Consider the following 21,926-nt stretch of genomic DNA (forward strand, 5'->3'; position numbering starts at 1 on the left):
AGGCCAAGGCAGGTGGATCACCTGAGGTCTGGAGTTCAAGACTAGCCTGGCCAACATGGTGAATCCACATCTCTACTAATAATACCAAAAAAAAAATCAGCTGGCCATGGTGGCGCATGCCTGTAATCTCAGCTACTCAGGAGGCTGAGGCAGGAGAATCGCTTGAACCTGGGAGAAGGAGGTTGCAGTGAACCAAGACCACGGCATTGCACTCCAGCCTGGGCAACAAGAGTGAAACTCTGACACAATAAATAAATAATAATAATAAAAATAAAAGCAGCAGAAAATACACGCAAAATGACATTTATATAAGGTTAAAAAGACACGCAGAACTAAGCAAAATATTGCTTAAGGATGCAAACATGACAAAACTATGAAAAAAACAAAGAAAAAATAAACACAGAATGCACAGTGGATTTGAGAGAGAAAGCGGAAGAATATACGAGGGACTCTGAAGTAGTGGTAATGTTCTTTCTCTAGAACTTGGTGCTGAGTACACAGGTATTCACTGCACCGTGATCTTCTCTAGCTTATATTCTTTTGCACCCACTCACCAAATAAATTATTTTGTACCTACTTAATACTCAACAAAAACAAACTCAAAGGATAAGTAAAAAAGTAAACTAGAAAGCCCCCAAAATTTATTCAGAATGCAGCACAAAGGGATGAGTAGTTTTAAATTATAGATAAGGAAGATCTAAGATATGCCTAATCAGAATCCCCCCAAAAATATAGTACTAATAGGAAGAAGCAATATATTTCCCAGATTTACAGACACACCGATTCCCTGAGTCAGGAAGTCCAATGAATCCTAGGAACTACCAAAAAAGAGAAATGACTCAACAACAGTAGTAGAAACCGCAATTCTGGAATATCTTCAGAAGTCTAACCAAAAGTAACTGCCAACATAATTATATATTACTGAAAGGATCCTTAACAAATACGAAATATGTTTTTAGACAAAAAAGTTTGCTTAAAGGAAATGTTAAAGGATTCAAGAAGGCTTCAGGTAGAATAGAGATCAGATAGAAGGTCTGAGAGGCAGCAAGAATGATGATGTCAAAGTACTGGTATATACACAGAAAAAAATCTAAACACTGACTACACAACAATAATAATGGCTGTGTGGAGTTTAAATAAACCATACAGAGTCTTCTTACTGCCTGAGAGAATAAAGATACATTGGTATATTTTAGACTTTGTTACATATCCATGTTGAAAACATATACAGGGCTGGGCACAGTGGCTCACGCCTGTAATCCCAGCACTTTGGAAGGCCTAGGCAGGTGGATCACCTGAGGTCATGAATTCAAGATCAGCCCAACCAGTATGGTGAAACCCCATCTCTACTAAAAATACAAAAATCAGTCGGGCATGGCAGTATGTGCCCGTAGTCCCAGCTACTCAGGAGGCTGAGAAAGGAGAATTGCTTGAACCCAGGAGGCAGAGGTTGCAGTAAGCAGAGATTGCACCACTGCACTCCAGCGCGGGTGACAGAGCAAGACTCTGTCTCAAATAAAAGGGAAAAGACACGTGCAAGAAGGCACACTGTATATCAACAGTATTCTGTTGCGGTTTTTTGGGTTGTTTTTTTTTTTTGACAGGGTCTCACTCTGTCACCCAGGCTGGAGTGCAGTGGCATTATCAGAGCTCAATGCAGCCTCAATCTCCTGGGCTCTAGCAATCTCTCGTCTCGTGCCACCATGCCTGGCTAATTTTTTTTTTTTAGTAGAAATAAGGTCTCACTATGTTGCCCATGATGGTCTTGAACTCCTGGGTTCCAGCAATCCTCCTGCCTCGGCCTCCCAAAGTGCTGGGATTACAGGTGTGAGACACCTATCAATAGTATCAATAGGCTGGGCGCAGTGGCTCACGCCTGTAATCCCAGCACTTTGGGAGGCCAAGGAGGGCGGATCACGAGGTCAGGAGATCGAGACCATCCTGGATAACACGGTGAAACCCTGTCTCTACTAAAAATACAAAAAAAATAGCCGGGCGTGGTGGCAGGCGCCTGTAGTCCCAGCTACTCGGGAGGCTGAGGCAGGAGAATGGCATGAACCCAGGAGGCGGAGTTTGCAGTGAGCCGAGATTGCACCACTGCACTCTAGCCTGGGCGACAGAGCGAGACTCTGTCTCAAAAAAAAAAAAAAAAAAAAAAGTATCAATAGTATTCTTAATAGCCTATCAATAGTATTCTTAATAGCCAAATACTAAATACAACCAAAGGAGAATGAAGAAGAAGTTATTTAATCAAATAATACCAAAAAAAAAAAAAAAAAAAAGATAGGCTGGGCACGGTGGCCCATGCCTGTAATCCCAGCACTTTGGGAGGCCGAGGTGGGCAGATCACCTGAGGTCAGGAGTTTGAGACCAGCCTGACTAACATGATGAAACCCCATCTTTACTAAAAATACAAAAATTAGCTGGGCATGGTGACATGCGTCTGTAATCCCAGCTACTCAGGAGGCTGAGGCATGAGAACTGCTTGAACCTAGGAGTCAAGGGTTGCAGTGGGCCAAAATTGTGCCACTGCACTCCAGCCTAGGTGACAGCAAGACTCTGTCCCAAAAATAAATAAATAAATACATAAATAAATACATAAAATAATTATAATAACTGAAACAATGTGATATAGGCTAGTAATGGACAAACAGGTCAACAAAACAGATAAAATAATCTAGACACAGAATCACTAAGTTCAGCAGATGGTAAAAAGCTATTTGGATATTTCAATTCAGAGCAGACATGTGGACTCTTCAATCAACATTTCTGGTATAATGTGCTACTCATCTGCAGCAAAGACATTACACACGGCTAGAGTGAAGTGGTGGAAGTGACACATTGCTTTACATTCCTCCCCTAGTATCTAGCAAATGAAATGTGTGCGTGCATGCGTGTGTGTGTGTGTGCGCGTAGCACACAGGAGCAGGTACAGAAGAAAGAAGGTGAGTTCACAAAATCCAGAGAATTCTAACATCCTTCAGTGTGTGTGGGGTGAAGTGAAATGAAGGGGGAAATAGATAACCCCAGGAAAACTCCAGGTCTGGAAGTCCCTAACTACATACTATGCCACAGGACCTGAGAAGAGGGCCATGTTTCAGGGAACTGTGCTGCTGTTTTGGGAGAAAGGTGAAGGCCCAAAGGCGTAGAATATAAATCTGGCAAAAGAGAGATCCGAGGTACAAGTCATTACCGTTTCTCAGCACTCCCCCTCCTATCTATTGAGTACAGAAAGGACTACATTCAGTTCCAACACCCAGCCCAAGCCATTCTCACAGAAGAGAATCAATACTATCAAACTGAAACCTGTGGTAAAATAACAGGATAACAGCCACTTCTAACAGATGTGTTTAACTTTAAAAAATTTATAAAGAAATATTTACATTAAAAGAACTACTATAAATTTAACAATTCCTTTCAGTTTTCTTATGAAATTAACTATTTCTAAAAATTAGCATTTCATACAATAATCTCTATGAATTCTTCCATCTGTTTATCTTTAAACAGAGATATCTGAAATATTCACAAAACATTAGTGCCGTTTATTTTTGTGTGATGCAAATTTGTGATTTGCTCATTTCAGTATGGCTTGGATTTCTTATAAAATCAATAATTAAAGAATTTTAAAACATATATATATAAAATAAAAATGCAACTTTAAAAATACAGTACATATTTATGTAGCCTTAGGATGGGAACAAGGCAAAAATCAACCTAACGTTCTTTCTTGTCATTCTTATTCTCTCCACATCTTAGTCCCCTCCCCCAAAAAAATTTATGTGAAAAAAACATTTCAAAGATTCACTCAAAAAATTAAAATATATGAGTTATCATTTTCTGTTCAGGCTATAAATGCTATCTCCTAGACAAAAACTTGATGGACTGCCTCAAAAACTTAATCACATATGTCACCATTAAGTCACAAAACCTAAAAAGTTATGTTTGAGATTTCCAAGTCATCAAAAGTAGAAGTTTGCTTTTTATTATCCAAAACAGATCCAAAAGTCTAACCTAATATAAAGGTGTGCATCAATAGGAAGCTATGACCATTAGCCTCCAATACAAAACCCTCATGAGGGTCCTATACTCAAGCCTTAGTTGCTCTTATATACACAAATGGACCCTATTCATCTCCTAAGTAGCTTAGTACCAAAAAAATTTTTAGAGAAACAGATGGAAAAGGCCAGAATCACATTGTTACTATGTTGTTTTCCCCTCTGACAGCCTTTTATATAGCTTGATAAAACTAGTTTAATGATGAACTGAAGTTAACACATTTTTCCTACTAAACTTAAAACCAAAGTAAGTCAACCAGAACCAAAACCTTCAGAATTCCATGCAGTAGCTTTTTACAAAGTGTATTCAGAAGAGTGCTAATGGATAATGAGCAAAAAAGTTCCATGATCCCTATACTTCAATCAAAATCATCTCAATACAATTTTGGAAAGATTTTCACAAAATCCAAAGTCCAAAGGATAACACACAAAAAGCATTTTTTGGAAAATGAAATATAGTAAATGTTCTATTTCTTAGGCTGGGTGAGTTTTGTTATGTTGTTTGAATGCAAAACAAAGATGATATAGAAGTACTAGCTCTAAGAGAATAAAGCCACAGTATTTAAACTGTGGCCAGACATGATGGCTTATGCCTGTACACCCAGCACTCTGGGAAGCTCAGGCGGAAGGATCTCTTAAGACCAGGAGTTGTAGGTTGCAGTAAGCTATGATCAGGCCACTGCACTCCAGCCTGGGCAAGATCCTGTTTCTAAAAATATAAAAAATAAACCTAATGTGGTTTGTATAACTGTCCCCTCCCAATCTCATACTGAAATGTGATCCCCAGTGTTGGAGGTGGGGCCTGGTAGGAGGTGTCTGGGTCATGGGAGAGGACCCCTCATGAATGGGTTGGTGTCCTCTCCACAGTAATGAATTCACATGAGATCTGGCTGTTTAAAGCCAGGCATGGTGGCTCCCAGCACTTTGGGAGGCTGAGGCAGGCAGACTGACTGAGCCCAGGAATTTGACACCAGCCTGGGCCACATGGCGAAATCTCATCTCTACGAAAAATAATTAGCCAGGTGTGGTGGCGCCTGCCTGTAGTCCCAGCTACTGGGATTGCTTGAGCCTGGGAGGTCAAGGTTGCAGTGAGCCATAACTGCACCAATGAATTCTAGCCTAGGCGACAGTGAGACCCTGTCTTTAAAAAAAAAAAAAAAAAAAAGGCCTGGTACCTCCTCACTCCCCACTCTCATCATGTGAGTATCCTGCTCTCCCTTTGCCTTCTGACATGATTGGAAGCTTCCTGACACCCTCACCAGAAGGTAGGCAGCTGCTGGTGTCATGCCTGCACAGCCTGCAGAACCATGAGGCAAAATAAACCTCTTTTCTTCATAAATTATCCAGTTTCACATATTCCTTTATAGCAACACAGGCTAACGTATTTCTAATTCAAACTTTGAATCCAGGTTCTAGCACTTAATAATACATGTAACATTGTGCTTTACTATATTCTGTCTTCCTCCCTTTCATATCCAAGCTTCTAGAAAAGAGGAGTACTTATTTCTCCAGACTTCATCATGGTGCCTAGCACAAAGGAGTTCAAAAAAATGTTTAATAAAGTTTTTCAAATTTAACAGCCTTTGAATCTATAGGGCAAAATTGGTTTTAAGACTTTTCCAATTTAAGCACACTACAGAGAACATCGAAACACTCTATTATTAGAAATAGGGGCCAGGCGCGGTGGCTCACACCTGTCATCCCAGCACTTCGGAAAGCTGAGGTGGGTGGATCACCTGAGGTCAGGAGTTCAAGACCAGCCTCACTAACAGGGTGAAATCCCGTCTCTACTAAATACAGAAAACTAACCAGGTGTGGTGGCGCATGCCTATAATCCCAGCTACTTTGGGAGGCTGAGGCAGGAGAATCACTTGAACCCGGGAGGCGGAGATTGCAGTCAGCCGACACTGCACCATTGCACTCCAGCCTGGGCAACAAGAGCGAAACCCCGTTTCAAAACAAACAAGTCTCAAAACAAACAAAAGTGTATGGCCGGGCCGCGGTGGCACACGCCTGTAATCCCAGCACTTTGGGAGGCTAAGGCGGGCGGATCACGAGGTCAGGAGATCGAGACCATCCTGGCTAACAAGGTGAAATCCCGTCTCTACTAAAAATACAGAAACAAAATTAGCAGGGCGTGGTGACGGGAACCTGTAGTCCCAGGTACCCGGGAGGCTGAGGAGGGAGAATGGCGTGAACCCGGGAGGCGGAGCTTGCAGTGAGCCAAGATCGTGCCACTGCACTCCAGCCTGGGCGACAGAGCGAGACTCTGTCTCAAAAAAAAAAAAAGAAAGAAATAGGCCAGGCACTGTGGCTCACACCTGTCATCTCAGCACTTTGGGAGGCCAAGGCGGGAGAATGGCTGAGGTCAGGAGTTGGTTAGAGACCAGTCTGGCCAACATGGTGAAACCCCGTCTCTACTAAAAACAAGAAATGTAGCAGCCAGCCACGGCTGCATACGCTTGTCATCCCGACTACTTGGGAAGCTGAGGCATGGGAATCGCTTGAACCGGGGAGGTGGAGGTAGCTGTGAGCTGAGATGGTGCCACTACACTCCAGCCTCAGCAACACAGCCTGACTGTCTCAAAAAGAAAAACTATATTATTAGAAAGAATATCTCATATAAAGGTATATGAAAACACAAACACACATGAAACACCTACGTTCAGTACTGTACAAAATTAAACAGAATCCCAGCCTTTTATGACATGCCAGCACTGGCAACCTATAAAAAGTAATTTACTAAGTTTCAATTCCTTTCCAAAGGCTAGATAGGCAGAGCAGGAACGTTCTACTGGCTTTGAATGAAGATACTGTTCATGGCCGGGCGCGGTAGCTCAAGCCTGTAATCCCAGTACTTTGGGAGGCCGAGGCTGGCGGATCACAAGGTCAAGAGACCCAGACCATCCTGGCCAACATGGTGAAACCCTGTCTCTACTAAAAATACAAAAATTAGCTGGGCGCGGTAGCGCGCTGTAGTCCCAGCTACTTGGGAGGCTGAGGCAGGAGAATCGCTTGAACCTGGGAGGCAGAGGTTGCAATAAGCCAAGATCACGCCACTGCACTCCAGCCTGGCGACAGAGCAAGACTCCGCCACCAAAAAATTAATTAATTAATTAAATTAAATACTGTTCGGCCGGGTGCGGTGGCTCACGCCTGTAATCCCAAGGCAGGTGGATCACGAGGTCAGGAGATCGAGACCATCCTGGCTAACACGGTGAAACCCCATCTCTACTAAAAATACAAAAAAAATTAGCCGGGCGTGGTGGTGGGCACCTGTAGTCCCAGCTACTGGGGAGGCTGAGGCAGGAGAATGGCATGAACCCGGGAGGCGGACCTGGCAGTGAGCCGACATCGCGCCACTGCACTGTAGCCTGGGCGACAGAGCGAGACTCCGTCTCAAAAAAAAAAAAAAAAAAAAATTACTTCTGCTTGCCTGTCTTCTCCACTACACTATGAATTCCTAAAAGGCAAAAATCACCAAATCTTATTCCTGGGCATTCGACAAGGTCACAGTGCCTTTGGACTAACAGGTCCTAAATGTAATAAATTAGGATAACAGGATACTGTATAGCAGGATATTATTAGGATACTAGCAGAGACAAGAAATAGGCATGTTAAACAATAAAATCAATTTTTTAAAACTCAAGATTGGGCCCAATTATTTTTAAGTATACACTGGTTCAGTATTAAACAAAACAAAATTCTTAAAATTACTAGGCCAGATACTAAAAACAGAATACTATAAATCAGTTTTCTGTGTGAAATACACAAATTCCTGCAGTAACTGAATTCCACCACAGAAAATGGAACTCTAATCTAGTTCAACAATTATATTGCAACATGTACCAAGCAAACATTTCTATAAACCACTTTGTATGCAATGGTACTTTTTTTCTTTTTGACTAATAAAAAGACGAATTGTCATTTAAATGTAAACTACCAGTGGACCCAGAAACTTCAAGCCTTTCAGAAATTTCTTACCAACTTAATTCAAACATTTTAAAATCACAAACTACTTTTAAAACACCGTGTTAGTAAAGGAATGCAAGGTCAAGAAGATAACCTTCTTCCTGACTTTAAGGAGTTTACAATCTAGAAAAGGAGATATATAGTCAATTATCAGAGTATCAGACACAAAGAATAAATGCTACTACAATAGAGGTACATATGCTGTGAGATCCCAGTAAAAAAGTGGGATAAGGGGAAATAAAAGAGTACAGTGGGCTGGGTGCGGTGGTTCACGCCTGTAATCCCAGCACTTTGGTTGGCCGAGGTGGGCAGATCGTCTGAGCTCAGGAGTTCGAGATCACCCTGGGCAACATGGTGAAACCCCGTCTCTACTAAAATACAAAAAATTAGCCGAGTGTGGCGGCGCGTTCCTGTAGTCCCAGCTACTCGGGAGGCTGAGGCACAAGAATCGCTTGAGCCCTGGAGGCGAAGGTTGCAGTGAGCCAAGATCACGCCATTGCACTCTAGCTTGGGCTACAAAGTGAGACTCCGTCTCAAAAAAATAAAAATAAAAATAAAAATACAGTGAAAACATTGGATTTAGAAGGAGGACCTGAAATTTGAGTATTTAAAAAAGGAAAGATGGCACTCCAGGATGAAGGACATGAGCAAAGAAACATCAGAGTGGAAACATCTCTTCCACAGAATGAGTCCAGGATTGATGACGATTCTGGAATAGCAAAAGCATAAAATTTGTTAACATATGAGGATAGACAGTAGCATATACTTATTGTAGAGACCTTTGAGCTAACCGAGGGAAGTTACACTTCATTCTGGGAAGAAAGAAAAGTCCCTGAAAATATTAAAGGTAGGCGTGAAAGACACAACGTTTTGCTTCCTCTTAAAATATATCTGTACCAGCCGGGCGCGGTGGCTCACGCCTGTAATCCCAGCACTCTGGGAGGCCAAGGCGGGCGGATCACGAGGTCAGAAGTTCAAGACCAGCCTGGCCAATATGGTGAAACCCCGTCTCTACTAAAAATACAAAAATTAGCCGGGTGTGGTGGCGTGCGCCTGTAATCCCAGCTACTCAGGAGGCTGAGGCAGGAGAATCGCTTGAACCTGGGAGACGGAGGTTGCAGTGAGCCAAGATTGTGCCACTGCACTCCAGCCTGGGCAACAGAGCAAGACCCCGTCTCAAAAAAAAAAAAAGATGTATCTGTACCTATGAAAAAGGAGAAGCATAAAAAGAAAACAAAAGTCTCAAAACTGATGTATAACGATCTTTTTTATTTTATTTTAGCAACAGGTTCTCGCTCTGTCACACAGGCTGAGTGCAGCGGCGCGATCCTAGCTCACTGCAACCCTCGAACTCTCAGTTTGAGGCTGAAGCTCAAACGTTCCCCCCGCCTCAGCCTCCCAAGTAGGCGCGCGACTAGAGGCGCCACCAATTCCCGGTTGACATGATGTTTTAAAAATTTTTTCAAGATAATTATTGTTGTTTGCAAACTCGTGACAGCTTGGTAGTATGTTACTGAAGGATCAGGATCCAAAAATCACAGTACAGAGACAACGTAGACTTCCCATAGCGCTTGGCACACTTAAAACATCCCTTCAAGTATTAACCTTAACTGGGCTTGTCATCCCAGGTCAAATCCTCCGAAATAAGTAAACCACTCTAATTTCTTCTCTCCTAAGAGACTCTATCAGTGAAAGCTCACAAAAAAACAGTTTAAAAAAAAAAAAGGGGGGGTCTCGCCATGTTGCTCAGGCTGGTCTCAAACTCCTGGGTTCAAGCGATCCTCCCGCCTCAGCCTCTCAAAGTGCTGGGATTACAGACAGGAGCCACTGCGCCCAGCCAAAGACAGTTCTTAAAATCTACAGGTTCTTTAGGATATTCTGAGAATAAATATCGTTTAGGATTTCCCCAAAGGATTTACGTTTTGTTCTATGAAGAACCCAGTTCTTCCAAAAATTTCTACAACTGACGATTTGGAAATAAAAATAACGCTCATCTCATAAAACTTTGCACACAGATAGTATGAACCTCGTAAGCTTTGAGAACAAAATTTCCCCATCTCTCAAAACAAAACACCCAAACCAAAACAGTCAACCAGTGGCAAAAGAAACCGTCCTGTTTCCCAGGTAGGAAAAAGGAAGGCAAAGCACCCCAAGATGTGCTTTTATTTTAAATCTCCTTGATCTGACCAATCGGGTGAGCTGGAACCTCACGGCTGAGCCCCGAGTCCAACTTCTTCCCCGCCAGGACTACTCACTGTGGCCAGGCCCAAGCGCATGTGGAACACACGCCAACACAGGACAGGCTCAGCACGCCGGCCGCTTCCCTCGGGGAAAGGCCCGCCAACGAGTCCATCGCGTGGGAGAACAGTGGGAAAGGGTCGCGGCCCCGGCCGTCCGTAAAGGGACCCGACTGCCGGCGCAGGACGCGAACCACCAGCGCCGCTCCGCCGCCATGTGCCGCCGCTCCTCCGGTCCGAGATTATGTAACGAAGCCCGGCGCCCGCGAGCCTGCCGTACCCGCCACCGCCACCGCTCGCCCCCTCGAGCCCCATCCGTTGGCCCCGCGCACGCCCGGCCTAGGCCCGGCGCTCGCGGGGCAGAAGCCCCGCCGCCGCCGCCGCCGCCGCCGCCGCCGCCGCGGGTCCAGGCCGCGCGACCCGCCCTCCGCCGCGCGGGCCCAACCCCCTCCCTCCCTTCCCCCTACCTGAACGGGGCGGGTGAGCGCGCCGCCGCGGGCCGAGTCCACCGGGTCGCCAGGCCAGGCGCGAGCTCCTCCCGTGCGGGTCCGTCACAGCATCTCCCGGGAGACGTGGCCGCCACGGGCCGGGCTCACACCCCTCCGCCCGGCTGAAGCCGCTCCTCTGCGCTCCGGCCGCCGCCTGCGACCTCCCCGGCCACCTCAGAGCCACACGCCCCCGAGAGTGCCTTCGCGGGCTGTAGGCCTGCAGACCGCTCAGCGGCTAAAACGCAGTCGCTGCTCCCGCCGCGCTTCTGGGTCCTTCCCCTTGCAACGCTGCCTGCTCGCCTCGGACAGCGCCGGCCCCGCTCTGCGCATTACCCTGCGCCGACAAAACCGAGTTCCACACGCCCCGGAAGGGAGGGAGCAGAGGAAAGGGCGGAGAGGGAGGGGAGAACCGGCGGGAGATCGCGGCTGCAGGGACCAGAGTTCTCGCGATGGTTCCGCGCTCTAGCGCCGGCTCCGCGGGAATTTTCAAACTCTCGGTGAAAGAAGGAGGTGGGAGGGAAAGGGAGGAAAGAGAAGCAGGGCCTGGAAGGGCGGATCATTTACAAAAAAATCGGGTCTCTCCGCCTCCGAGGAGCTGGTGGGGAGAAAGACTACGAGTCCCACAGTGCCTTGCGCGTGAAGCCGCCCTGGCGGCCCCGGCGGCGCGCCCCGTGCGCAGTTGGGAGTGGTAGTCTTCGCTGGGGGTCGCGCCGGGCTCTGCCAGCCGCCTGCTGCGATTGCAGGCGGACTCTCTTGTCACGTAATCGTGTGGCCCTGCCAGCTGGGGGCCGAGTGATAATCTTTCTCCCATAATTGGCAGCTTGCATTCTGTATTTTCTGTTCTGTGCTCCCACTTTTCTTTTTTTCTTTTTCTTTTTTTTGGAGACGGAGTCTTGCTCTGTTGCCCAGGCTGGAGTGCTGTGGCACGATCTTGGCTCACTACAACCTGTGCTCCCGCTTTTCATGCCAAAGGTGGGCTCCCAGACTTCTGGGGAAACGCTTTTTCCACGGTGCTGTTTTTTCTAGCATCCTCCTGTGCTTTCATGGCCAAAAATGCTCGCGCAGCCTAGCCTAATCTTTTTAGTCAAAATTTTACCCCAAATCACTGTTATCTTTTTGGTCACCGCGGGTTTTCATTGTGGAATTTCTTATTTCTTGTTAGTATCTTCCTTTGAAGCAAATCCCAGCGCCAAACATGTTTCAAACAGATAGGGAACGTATCCTTAATACTAAGTAGTAAGTAAAAGGATTATAACATGAGGTAGAGTAGGGATTTTAAGAAGATGCTCTTTTATCAGGAAAGTTTCTACTTTTCTGTTACCTTTCATATGTGCTTTTTAAATTTTTTTATTTTTGAGACAGTGTCTCGCTCTGTCGCCCAGGCTGGAGTGCAGTGGTGTAATCAAGGCTCACAGCAGCCTCGAACTCGTGGGCTCAAATGATCCTCCTACCTCAGCCCTCCAAGTAGCTGGGACTATGGGCATGGACCACCATGCGCCACTACGTCCCATTAATTTTTTTATTTTATTTATTTATTTATTTATTTATTTATTTGAGACGGAGTCTCGCTCTGTCACCAGGCTGGAGTGCAGTGGCACAATCTCGGCTCACTGCAACCTCCGCCTCCCAGGTTCAAGAGGTTCTCCTGTCTCAGCCTCCAGAGTAGCTAGGACTACAGGTGTGCGCCACCATGCCCAGCTGATTTTTGTATTTTTAGTAGAGACAGGGTTTCACCATGTTGGCCAGGATGGTCTTGAACTCTTGACCTCGTGATCCACCTGCCTCAGCCTCCCAAAGTGCTGGGATTATAGGCGTGAGCCACCGCGCCCGGCCTTATTTTTTATTTTTTGTAGAGACTGTCTCACTGTGTTACCCAAGCTGGTCTCTACTCCTGGGCTCAAGAGATCCTCCTGCCTCAGCCTCTCAACGTGCTGGGATTACAGACATGAGCCACCATGCCCAGCCTATTTTTATTTTTGTAGAGACTGTGTCTTGCTGTGTTGCTCAGACTGGAGTGCATGGCTATTCGCAGGCACTATGGCCTCATCAGTGCCACTGCTGCCTCCAACTTCTAGGCTCAAGCTATCCTCCCACCTCAGCTTCCCGAGCAGCTGGGACTACAGGCATGGATATCATGCCTGGCCCATATTCTTTCAGAGATAATGCTGCCTTTTGGAAATGTAATTTTCTTTTTTCTGTAATTTTTGTTTCTTTAGTAACAGCAACCTCCATACATATCATGTTTGTTTGCACAAGGTATTGGACCAAGTTGTGATAGAAACAGTTAAAAAGAGTACTGCTTTTGCAGTAGGAGGTTTGGGGTTCGTTGTCTTAATTATTTTAAAGAGATCTCTTCAAACAGAAACCACCCTCTGTTGGATGTGCTGATTTATGTCACATGCTCCATATTCTACACTTTCTTTGGCACTGTTTTATGCCCAGTTCATGAGTACTGTACCTCTCGATAGTCAGAAGACATGAATTATCAACTCAGGTGTGCTGCTAGTGAGCTGTGTGACATTAGGAAAATCAAGTGACCTCTCTGGGCTTCAGTTATCAGATGTGTAGAGCAAGGGATTGACTGATTCATTAGACAGATATTTATTAACTTTGCTCTAAGAGCCCTTCCAGTTGTGAAATTCAAAAATCTATTTTAATTGCACATATTATCCAGATTGACTGTCTACATAGTCTTTCAGATTTTAATCCTTTCCATCATTATCAACAGAATGATTTCTGTATCATTGTCTATATTTTTATTATTTACTTATTTTGAGACAGGGTCTTGCTCTGTTACCCAGGCTGGAGTGCAGTGGCACAATCTCGGGTCACTGTAGCCTTGACCTCCTGGGCTCAAGCAGTTCTCCTACCTCAGCCTCCCAAATAGCTGGGACTACAGGTGCATACCACCACTCCTAGCTAATTTTTGCATTTTTTGTAGAGACAGGGTTTCTTCATGTTACCCAGGCTGGTCTCAAACTTGTGGGCTCAAGTGATCTGCTGGACTCAGCCTTCCAAAGTGCTGGAATTACAGACGTGAGACACTGGCCTGGCCTGTGTAATTGTCCATAATCTAGACCAACTCTACCTGTCGTATTTTATTTCCCTATATAGTTCCTGAGCTTTGTTTTGTTTTGTTTTGTTTTTTAACTCTCCAAACCTGTTTTCTCTTTCAGTGTCTCCCAGCCTCTTCTCTCCCTGAGTAAATCTTAACATCCCTCAGGGGCCAGCTCAAGCCTCTTTCCTCTTCCCAATCTTTTCTTCAGCTTCAGCCCACATGAATCACTAAAAACTTGAGCGAAATATGCTGTCTGAATTGTTTCATGTCTGTTTCCCTTTTTGCCTCTGACTCTCTCCATCCACCCACCATCTCCATCTCCCAGCTGCACTGGGAGCACAGACTGTATCTTTTTAAAATGCTTCCCCCATAACTGCTAGTTTTTTATTTTAGTTGCTTTGCAAACTGAATTTCCAATTTAAAGCTCTCATTCAATCCTTTTTCTTCTTTCTTTCAGACATTTAACTAAGCAAATACCAGATTATTTTAATTGGTTTCAAGAGATGTTAATAAGTGTTAAATGAAGAAAAATCTAGATTTGGTAATCAAATGAGTTTGGGGGAAAAGCTGATTAAATAAAAATAAAAATGTATTTTCTGTAAGACTTCACTGGCTTTAATATGCTTGGCATTCCCCAGAGTTGCTTGACCATGGCATCCATTTGCACTTGTGTAACATCTTGCCTTATTAGTGCTTCACAGAACAGACTCTGGTAAACACGGCTTCAAAGCTTTCTCTCACTGGAAGAAGCATGTTGTGGTGAAAATAATGAAATCATTTGGAGCCAGACAAACTTGGGTTTACTGCGTTTCACTACTTTCTAGCAACATGACTTTTATGAAATTACTTCACTCTCTGAGCCTGTTTTCTCAGCTAAGAAGAAAAGATAATGTCACTTTCTTTGCAGAACTGTTGTAAAGATGAAAGGGAAGTACATGCCTTCCTTAGAACCTCATTCCGTTTTCACCTATATGGTCCTAAGTTATGTTGGTAAAAGGCCTAGAAATGGATAATAACTGGTACAAATCCTCATGCTTCCATCTGGAATATTTGATTCAAGAGACAATATTTTTAAAAATTTTATTTATTGATTGATTTTTGAGATGGAGTCTCACGCTATCACCCAGGCTGGAGTGCAGTGCAGTGGCATGATCTCAGCTCGCTGCAGCCTCCGACTCCCGGGTTCAAGCGATTCTCCTGCTTTAGCCTCCCATTGGGATTACAGGCCTGTGCCACCACTCCTGGCTAATTTTTGTATTTCTAGTAGAGATGGGGTTTCACCATGTTGCCCAGGCTGGTCTTGAACTACCGACCTCAAGTGATCCACCCGCCGTGGGCTCCCAAAGTGCTGGGATTACAGCATGAGCCACTGCACCCGGCCAAGAGGCAATATTTTAATACCATTCCAGCATCCTGGGAGTGACTAGCGGCCATCTGATTTCAGGGAATTCAGGACTTCATTGAAGCGTTCTGAGTTAGATCTCCAATTGTTTTGCAAAGTAACAGGGAAAGCCTTATTACTTTAACAACAACAAAAATGGAGCTTATCTGTCTCGAGCAGAGAAAACTGTCTTTGTCCTAACAGGTACATGTTCATCATTTTTGTGCAGTTGATTGGTTATAGCAAGCAGTGCCCACCCTTGATTTCTCCAATTGACAATAAACTAGGTGAATGAACAATCATATTTTTCCTGTTCCCCACTCTATGTCCAGTGATGGCACAATGGCCAGAGCGTAAATACTAAAATCATTGTCTAGTGACTGAGCAAATAATAATTCATCATTCAAAGCAAAATATGCAAAAAAAAAAAACAAAGCAAAATATGCCATATTAGATTATAAGGAACCTTAGAGATATTCTAGGCCAAACACCTTATTTTATAGGTGGTGAAATGAATTGTCAAATGATTTGCTACAAATTTTTTGGGATGGATTTTTTGTTTTGTTTAAAAAATAAGCCAAGTGCAGTGGCTCACAGCTGTAATCCCAGCACTTTGGGAGGATGAGGCAGGCAGATCACCTGAGCCCAGGAGTTCCAGACCAGCCTGGGCAATATGGCAAAAACCCATCTGTACAAAAAATACAAAACTTAGCCGGGCATGGTGGTACATGCCTGTAGTCCCAGCCACTTGGGAGGCTGAGGTGAAAGGATCACTTGAGCCTGGAAGGTCAAGATTGCAGGAGCGGTGGTCGTGCCACTGCACTCCAGCCTGGGTGACAGAGCAAGAGACCCTGTCTCAAAACAAAACAACAACAACAAAAAAAAAATTGTAGGGGCAGCAAAACTTTACCTTTACCCTCTTAGGCTCTCTGGCTGGGTTTGAGAATTAAATTGACACAAGTGAGAATAACAGGAGAAAGGGCTGGGCAAGGTGGCTCACACCTGCCATCCCAATATTTTGGGTGGCTGAGGCAGGAGGATTGCTTGAGCGTGAGCCTGGGAGTTTGAGGTTGCAGTGAGCTATGATCGGACCACTGCACTCCAGCTTGGGCAACAGAGCGAGATCTTATCTCTAAAAACAGAGAAAAGTACACAGATTTTTACATGTACATGGGAGCCCCCATAGGAAAATGAAGACCCAAAGACATGACAAAACCTAAATGCTTCTATAGTAGGTTGAACTAAGAGTGACGGTTGTGGACATGTGTTGGGATGCTAAAGATACAAGTTAATTTAACAATTAACTTTTTTTCAGATTTTTCTCAGCCTTGACTCCACATCTCTGATGACTAGAATGTTTCTTCTCTCCTGGGACAAGGAAGGCAGCGTTTCCCTTTTGTATCAGCCGTTTCTCAACTGCCTTTAGCTCAAAATAATCCTTATGCCAAAAGGCATATTTTGGGGTGCCATCCTCTGCCACCCTTCAACATTTTTAATTTTTAATTTTTAAAATTTTTTAATTTTTAAAATTTTTTTGAGACAGACTCTGGCCCTGTTGCCCAGGCTGGTGTGCAGTAGCGTGATCTCGGCTCACTGCAACCTCCTTCTCCTGGGTTCAAGCGATTCTCCTGACTCAGCCTCCTGGGTAGCTGGGATTACAGACATGCACCACCATGCCCAGCTAATTTTTTTTTTTTTTGTATTTTTAGTAGAGATGGGGTTTCACCATGTTGGTCAGGTTGGTCTTGAACTCCTGACCTCAGGTGATCCACCCGCCTTGGCCTCCCAAAGTGCTGGGATGACAGGCATGAGCTACCACGCCTGGCCCACCCTTCAACATTAAATCAAACCTACAGTCATAAAAGAAGAAAAGTAATAACAAACATTTAAATTGTAAAATATTTTTGTCATCATAGTCTTTATGCATTTGAAAAATTGTTTGCGTGAATGGTACCCCCCCCCCAAAAGCCAGATTATATTTCTTTCTCCAAACACTGGTAATATTTGTCATTAACAGGTACCACAATTAATCTGTTCCTTAAAATTTTTCCTCTTTCTACTTCTCCGTTTTTTTCACATTATTTTCTTCAAAGGTTACTTTAAAAAATCTATGTGTGGGCTGGGCACGGTGGCTCACGCCTGTAATCCCAGCACTTTGGGAGGCTGAGGCGGGCAGATCACGAGGTCAGGAGATCGAGACCATCCTGGCTAACACGGTGAAACCCCGTCTCTACTAAAAAGACAAAAAATTAGCCGGGCTAATTAGGCGGGCACCTGTGGTCCCAGCTACTCGGAAGGCTGAGGCAGGAGAATGGCGGGAGACGGAGCTTGCAGTGAGCCGAGATCGCGCCACCGCACTCCCGCCTGGGCGACAGAGCGAGACTCCGTCTCAACAACAACAACAACAACAAATCTGTGTGTTTTGGCTAAAACTATTCAGATTCTGATTTCTCTGTTACTTAAACCCAAAGAACACCCTTAATGACAGCTCTTGAAATACAGTTACATGTCACTTAATGATGGGGAAACATTTTGAGAAATGACAATTTCATTGTTGTACAAACATCAGAGTGTACCTACAGAAACCTGAATAGTATAGCCTACTACACACCTAGACTATATGCGATAGCCTATGGCTCCCAGGCTACAAACCGGTGCAGCATGTTACTGCACCAAATACTGTAGGCAATTGTAACACAATGGTGAGTAATTGTGCATCCAAACATAGAAAAGATACAGTAAAAATGTGGTATGAAAGATACAAATGGTCCACCTGTCTAGGGCACTTACCATGAATGGAGCTTGCAGGACAGGAAGTTGCTCTCAGTGAGTGAGTGAGGAGTGAATGTGAAGGCCTAGGACGCTACTGTACTGTACTGTAGACTTTATCAACACTGTACGCTTAGGCTACACAGGCCTGGAACACTCACTGTTCTCTACTGTAGACTATCCACACTGTACACTTAGGCTACACAGGCCTAGAACACTCACTGTACTCTACTGTAGACTTTATCAATACTGCACACATAGGCTACACAGGCCTAGAACACTCACTGTTCTCTACTGTAGACTTTATCAACACTGCACACGTAGGCTACACTACATTTATAAAGAAATCAAGTAATTACAGTATGGTGTCAGTGATGGCTATGTCACCAGGCAATAGGAGTTTTTCAGCTCCTTTATAATCTTCGAGGACCATAGTTACATTTGCAGTCAGTAGTTGACCAATACCTAGTTGCATAGCGTGTGACTGTCCTGCAATTGCTGACTAGAAGCTGTGTACTCAGACACCATTGCGTTTTTTATTTATTTTCAACCTTTACCTCAAGACTCATGCTTGCCTTCTGGTGTTGTTCTGTTGGATTCCAGAGGGCACAAGAGAGTTATAAGCTTCTTACAGTCAATGGCATTGCAAGTATTGCTCATGAGCTGCAAATCTGTCACCTGCCTGAAGCTCCCTGCCTCTAAGGAAACCCAGCTAAGAAAAGTTGGTTCCAGCTGGGCACAGTGGCTCACGCCTGTAATCCCAGCACTTCAGGAGGCTGAGGCGGGTGGATCACAAGATCAAGAGATCGAGACCATCTGGCCAACATGGTGAAACCCCATCTTTACTAAAAATACAAAAATTAGATGAGCGTGGTGGTGGGCACCTGTAATTCCAGCTACTCGGGAGGCTGAGGCAGGAGAATCACTTGAACCCGGGGGTCGGAGGTTGCAATGAGCTGAGATTGTGCCTCTGCACTCCAGCCTGGTGACACAGCGACTCTGTCTCAAAAAAAAAAGAAAAAGAAAAGAAAAGTTGGTTCTGTAGTAGAAAGTGATGGAAATAAGGACAGTCAAGTCTGATGTTCCATTGAGGGAATAGGTCACCCATTTTAACAAGTGCTTTGTGCCACATTTATTAGATTCTCAGTCTTATTTTATTTTATTTTATTTTATTTTATTTTTGTTTTCTTTTTTTTTTGAGACAGAGTCTCGCTCTGTCACCCAGGCTGGAGTGCAGAGGCGCGATCTCGGCTCATTGCAACCTCCGACCCCCGGGTTCAAGCCATTCTCGTGGTTCAGCCTCCTGAGTAGCTGGGACTACAGGCGCCCATCACCACGTCCAGCTAATTTTTTTTGTATTTTTAGTAGTGACGGGGTTTCACCATGTTAGCCAGCATGGTCTCGATCTCCTGACCTCGTGATCTGCCCGCCTCGGCCTCCCAAAGTGCTGGGATTACAGGCGTGAGCCACTACGCCCAGCCTAAATCATGATTGTATGGTAGTATTTTTTTTTAGCACAGTTTTACTTTGTTTCAGTTTCTTATCATTCATTTATTTGTTCAGTTGTTCATCCATCAAATATTTATTGAATATTTGGGGTAGGCATCATTCAAGGCACAGCTTAAGAAGACCAGTGACTGTGTCCCTCAGCAAAGCAATCAGAACAACATCATTCAATGAAAACATTATTATGGCCGGGCACCGTGGCTCACGCCTGTAATCCCAGCACTTTGGGAGGCCGAGGCGGGCATATCACGAGGTCAGGAGATCGAGACCATCCTGGCTAACACGGTGAAACCCCGTCTCTACTAAAAATACAAAAAATTAGCCGGGCGTAGTGGCGGGCGCCTGTAGTCCCAGCTACTCAGGAGGCTGAGGCAGGAGAATGGCGTGAACCCGGGAAGCGGAGCTTGCGGTGAGCCGAGATCATGCCACTGCACTCCAGCCTGGGCTACAGAGTGAGACTCCATCTTAAAAAAAAAAAAAAAAAGAAAAATTATTATTTTTTCTTTTTTAAAATTTTATTTTTAAAAAAATTTTTTGTTTGAAATATTTTTATAAAGGCAACTTTAAAATCAAGGAGAGCTACAGTTCTCTCATAAGTATCTTACTGATAATTACAATAAACACTCAGCATTCTAGTCAGTCATAGAAATGTTTAATCCCACATTCTGGTTTTGGTTAAGCCATTAATTCACTAGAAGTGGTTGGGTCACAGACTCATTCCCCACCAATTGGATAAAAGGCACTTTTTCAAATGACAGCTCTATAATCATCTTTTAGACTTCTGTTACTCATATGATTCTGAATTTCCTTACTTTTTTTCACAGCCAGAGATAATGTTTAATTTTTTTTCTGGCCGGGCGCAGTGGCTCACGCCTGTAATCCCAGCACTTTGGGAGGCCGAGGCGGGTGGATCACGAGGTCAGGAGATCGAGACCACAGTGAAACCCCGTCTCTGCTAAAAATACAAAAAAAAATTAGCCGGGCGCGGTGGCGGGCGCCTGTAGTCCCAGCTACTCCGGAGGCTGAGGCAGGAGAATGGTGTGAACCCAGGAGGCGGAGCTTGCAGTGAGCCGAGATCGCGCCACTGCACTCCAGCCTCGGCGACAGACAGAGCAAGACTCCATCTTAAAAAAAAAAAAAAAAAAAAAAAAAAAAATTTCACATCCAATTGATTTCTTAAAAAAAAAAAAAAAATTATAGAGACAGGGTCTCACCATGTTGCCCAGGTTGGTCTAGTACTCCTAGGCTCAAGTGATCCTCCCGCCTCAGCCCCCAAAGTGCTGGGATTACAGGTGTGAGCCACCATGCCCAGCCCCTGAATTCTCTTATTTTAAAAGGGCCTAATTTTAAAGTTAGGTAACTACCCTTCATTACCTTCATTATAGATCATGAAAGTTTAATGCACTTGGCAAATTTTATTTCATTTTAATATTTTTATTTTTATTTATTTTGGAGACAGAGTCTCTCTCTGTGGCCCAGACTGGAGTGCAGTGGTGCAATCTTGGCTCACTGCAACCTATAAAAATAAATATTTTTATTTTTTAAAATTTCCCACAACACTGACATAAACACTTGGCAAATTTAATTGCATTTATTTATTATTTCTGGAAACAGAGTCTCACTCTGTCATCCAGGCTGCTCTCGCAGTCCTCAGCTCAAGCTCGCCTCCTGCCTCTGCCTCCCAAAGTACTGGGATTACAAGTGTGAGCCACCACATCCAGCCTATTATGCAATCTTTTAATTCTATCTCAAATATAAATTGCCTCTTCAGTGGAGCAGCTTTTGGAAAACAGACACTTGGTAAACCTTTAGTAAATAAGGCTGGGGAGACGGCATTTCAGCAGAACAGAGAGTAGAGAGTGGGAACATTTAACCTCCAAAACAGAAGGGTGGAGATAAACACACCAGCACCAGAGTCTAAGAATTATTCTCTTTGAGTTACAGTCTTCAAAGACAGGAAAAGAAGATCAAGAGTTTTGGCTGGGCGTGAGGGCTCATGCCTGTAAATCCCAGCACTTTGGGAGGCCAAGGTAGGCAGATCACTTGAGGTCAGGAGTTCAAGAACAGCTTGGCTAACATGATGAAATCCCATCTCTACAAAAAAAATATAAAACTTAACCGGGAGTGGTGGCGGGCGCCTGTAACCCCAGCTACTTGGGAGGCTGAGGCAGGAGAATCGCTTGAATCCAGGAGGTGGAGGTTGCAGTGAGCCAAGATTGCACCATTGCACTCCAGCCTGGGTGACAGAGCGAGACTCTGCTAAAAAAAAAAAAAAAAATTCAAGAGTTTTTCAATTTGAAGATCATGAAGGTTTCAAAGAGTGAAATACGGTCCCGCACTTGGTAAGACTCAGATGGAGTCATGCTGCACAAACACTAAAGGATAAAATGATGTGGGAAAAACAATTTTGGCAAACTTGAGTATAATTCCAGCTGATGTATCATAGAAACCATTTAAATA

At 44.4% G+C, this 21,926-nt stretch overlaps 1 protein-coding gene across 9 annotated transcripts in view, besides 3 other annotated features; it reads right to left on the reverse strand.

Moving 5' to 3' along the window:
• AHCTF1 (AT-hook containing transcription factor 1) overlaps nucleotides 1–11,102 on the reverse strand; it is a 92,851-nt gene extending 81,749 nt beyond the window's left edge. For 5 of the 9 annotated variants that reach the window (XM_011544157.4, XM_011544156.3, NM_001410950.1 and 2 more), the window contains exon 1: nucleotides 10,283–10,512. In XM_011544157.4, the coding sequence (XP_011542459.3) occupies nucleotides 10,283–10,380 (98 nt within the window). In that variant the 5' untranslated portion in view covers nucleotides 10,381–10,512. Of the gene's footprint in view, nucleotides 1–10,282; nucleotides 10,513–10,731 lie in introns of those variants that run through there. The other 4 variants (NR_136586.2, NM_001323343.2, NM_001323342.2 and 1 more) reach the window with 2 other exon arrangements.
• Nucleotides 10,225–10,314: an enhancer, noted in NCBI's record as "active region_2862". NCBI's record gives its function as "activates an Ori minimal core promoter by ATAC-STARR-seq in GM12878 lymphoblastoid cells {active_cell/tissue: GM12878}" and the evidence as "EXISTENCE:reporter gene assay evidence [ECO:0000049][PMID:35858748]".
• Nucleotides 10,655–10,754: a silencer, noted in NCBI's record as "silent region_2039". NCBI's record gives its function as "represses an Ori minimal core promoter by ATAC-STARR-seq in GM12878 lymphoblastoid cells {active_cell/tissue: GM12878}" and the evidence as "EXISTENCE:reporter gene assay evidence [ECO:0000049][PMID:35858748]".
• Nucleotides 11,435–11,484: an enhancer, noted in NCBI's record as "active region_2863". NCBI's record gives its function as "activates an Ori minimal core promoter by ATAC-STARR-seq in GM12878 lymphoblastoid cells {active_cell/tissue: GM12878}" and the evidence as "EXISTENCE:reporter gene assay evidence [ECO:0000049][PMID:35858748]".

The sequence above is a fragment of the Homo sapiens genome, chromosome 1 (assembly GCF_000001405.40).
Source record: "Homo sapiens chromosome 1, GRCh38.p14 Primary Assembly".
In the NCBI taxonomy this organism is placed as follows: domain Eukaryota; kingdom Metazoa; phylum Chordata; class Mammalia; order Primates; family Hominidae; genus Homo; species Homo sapiens.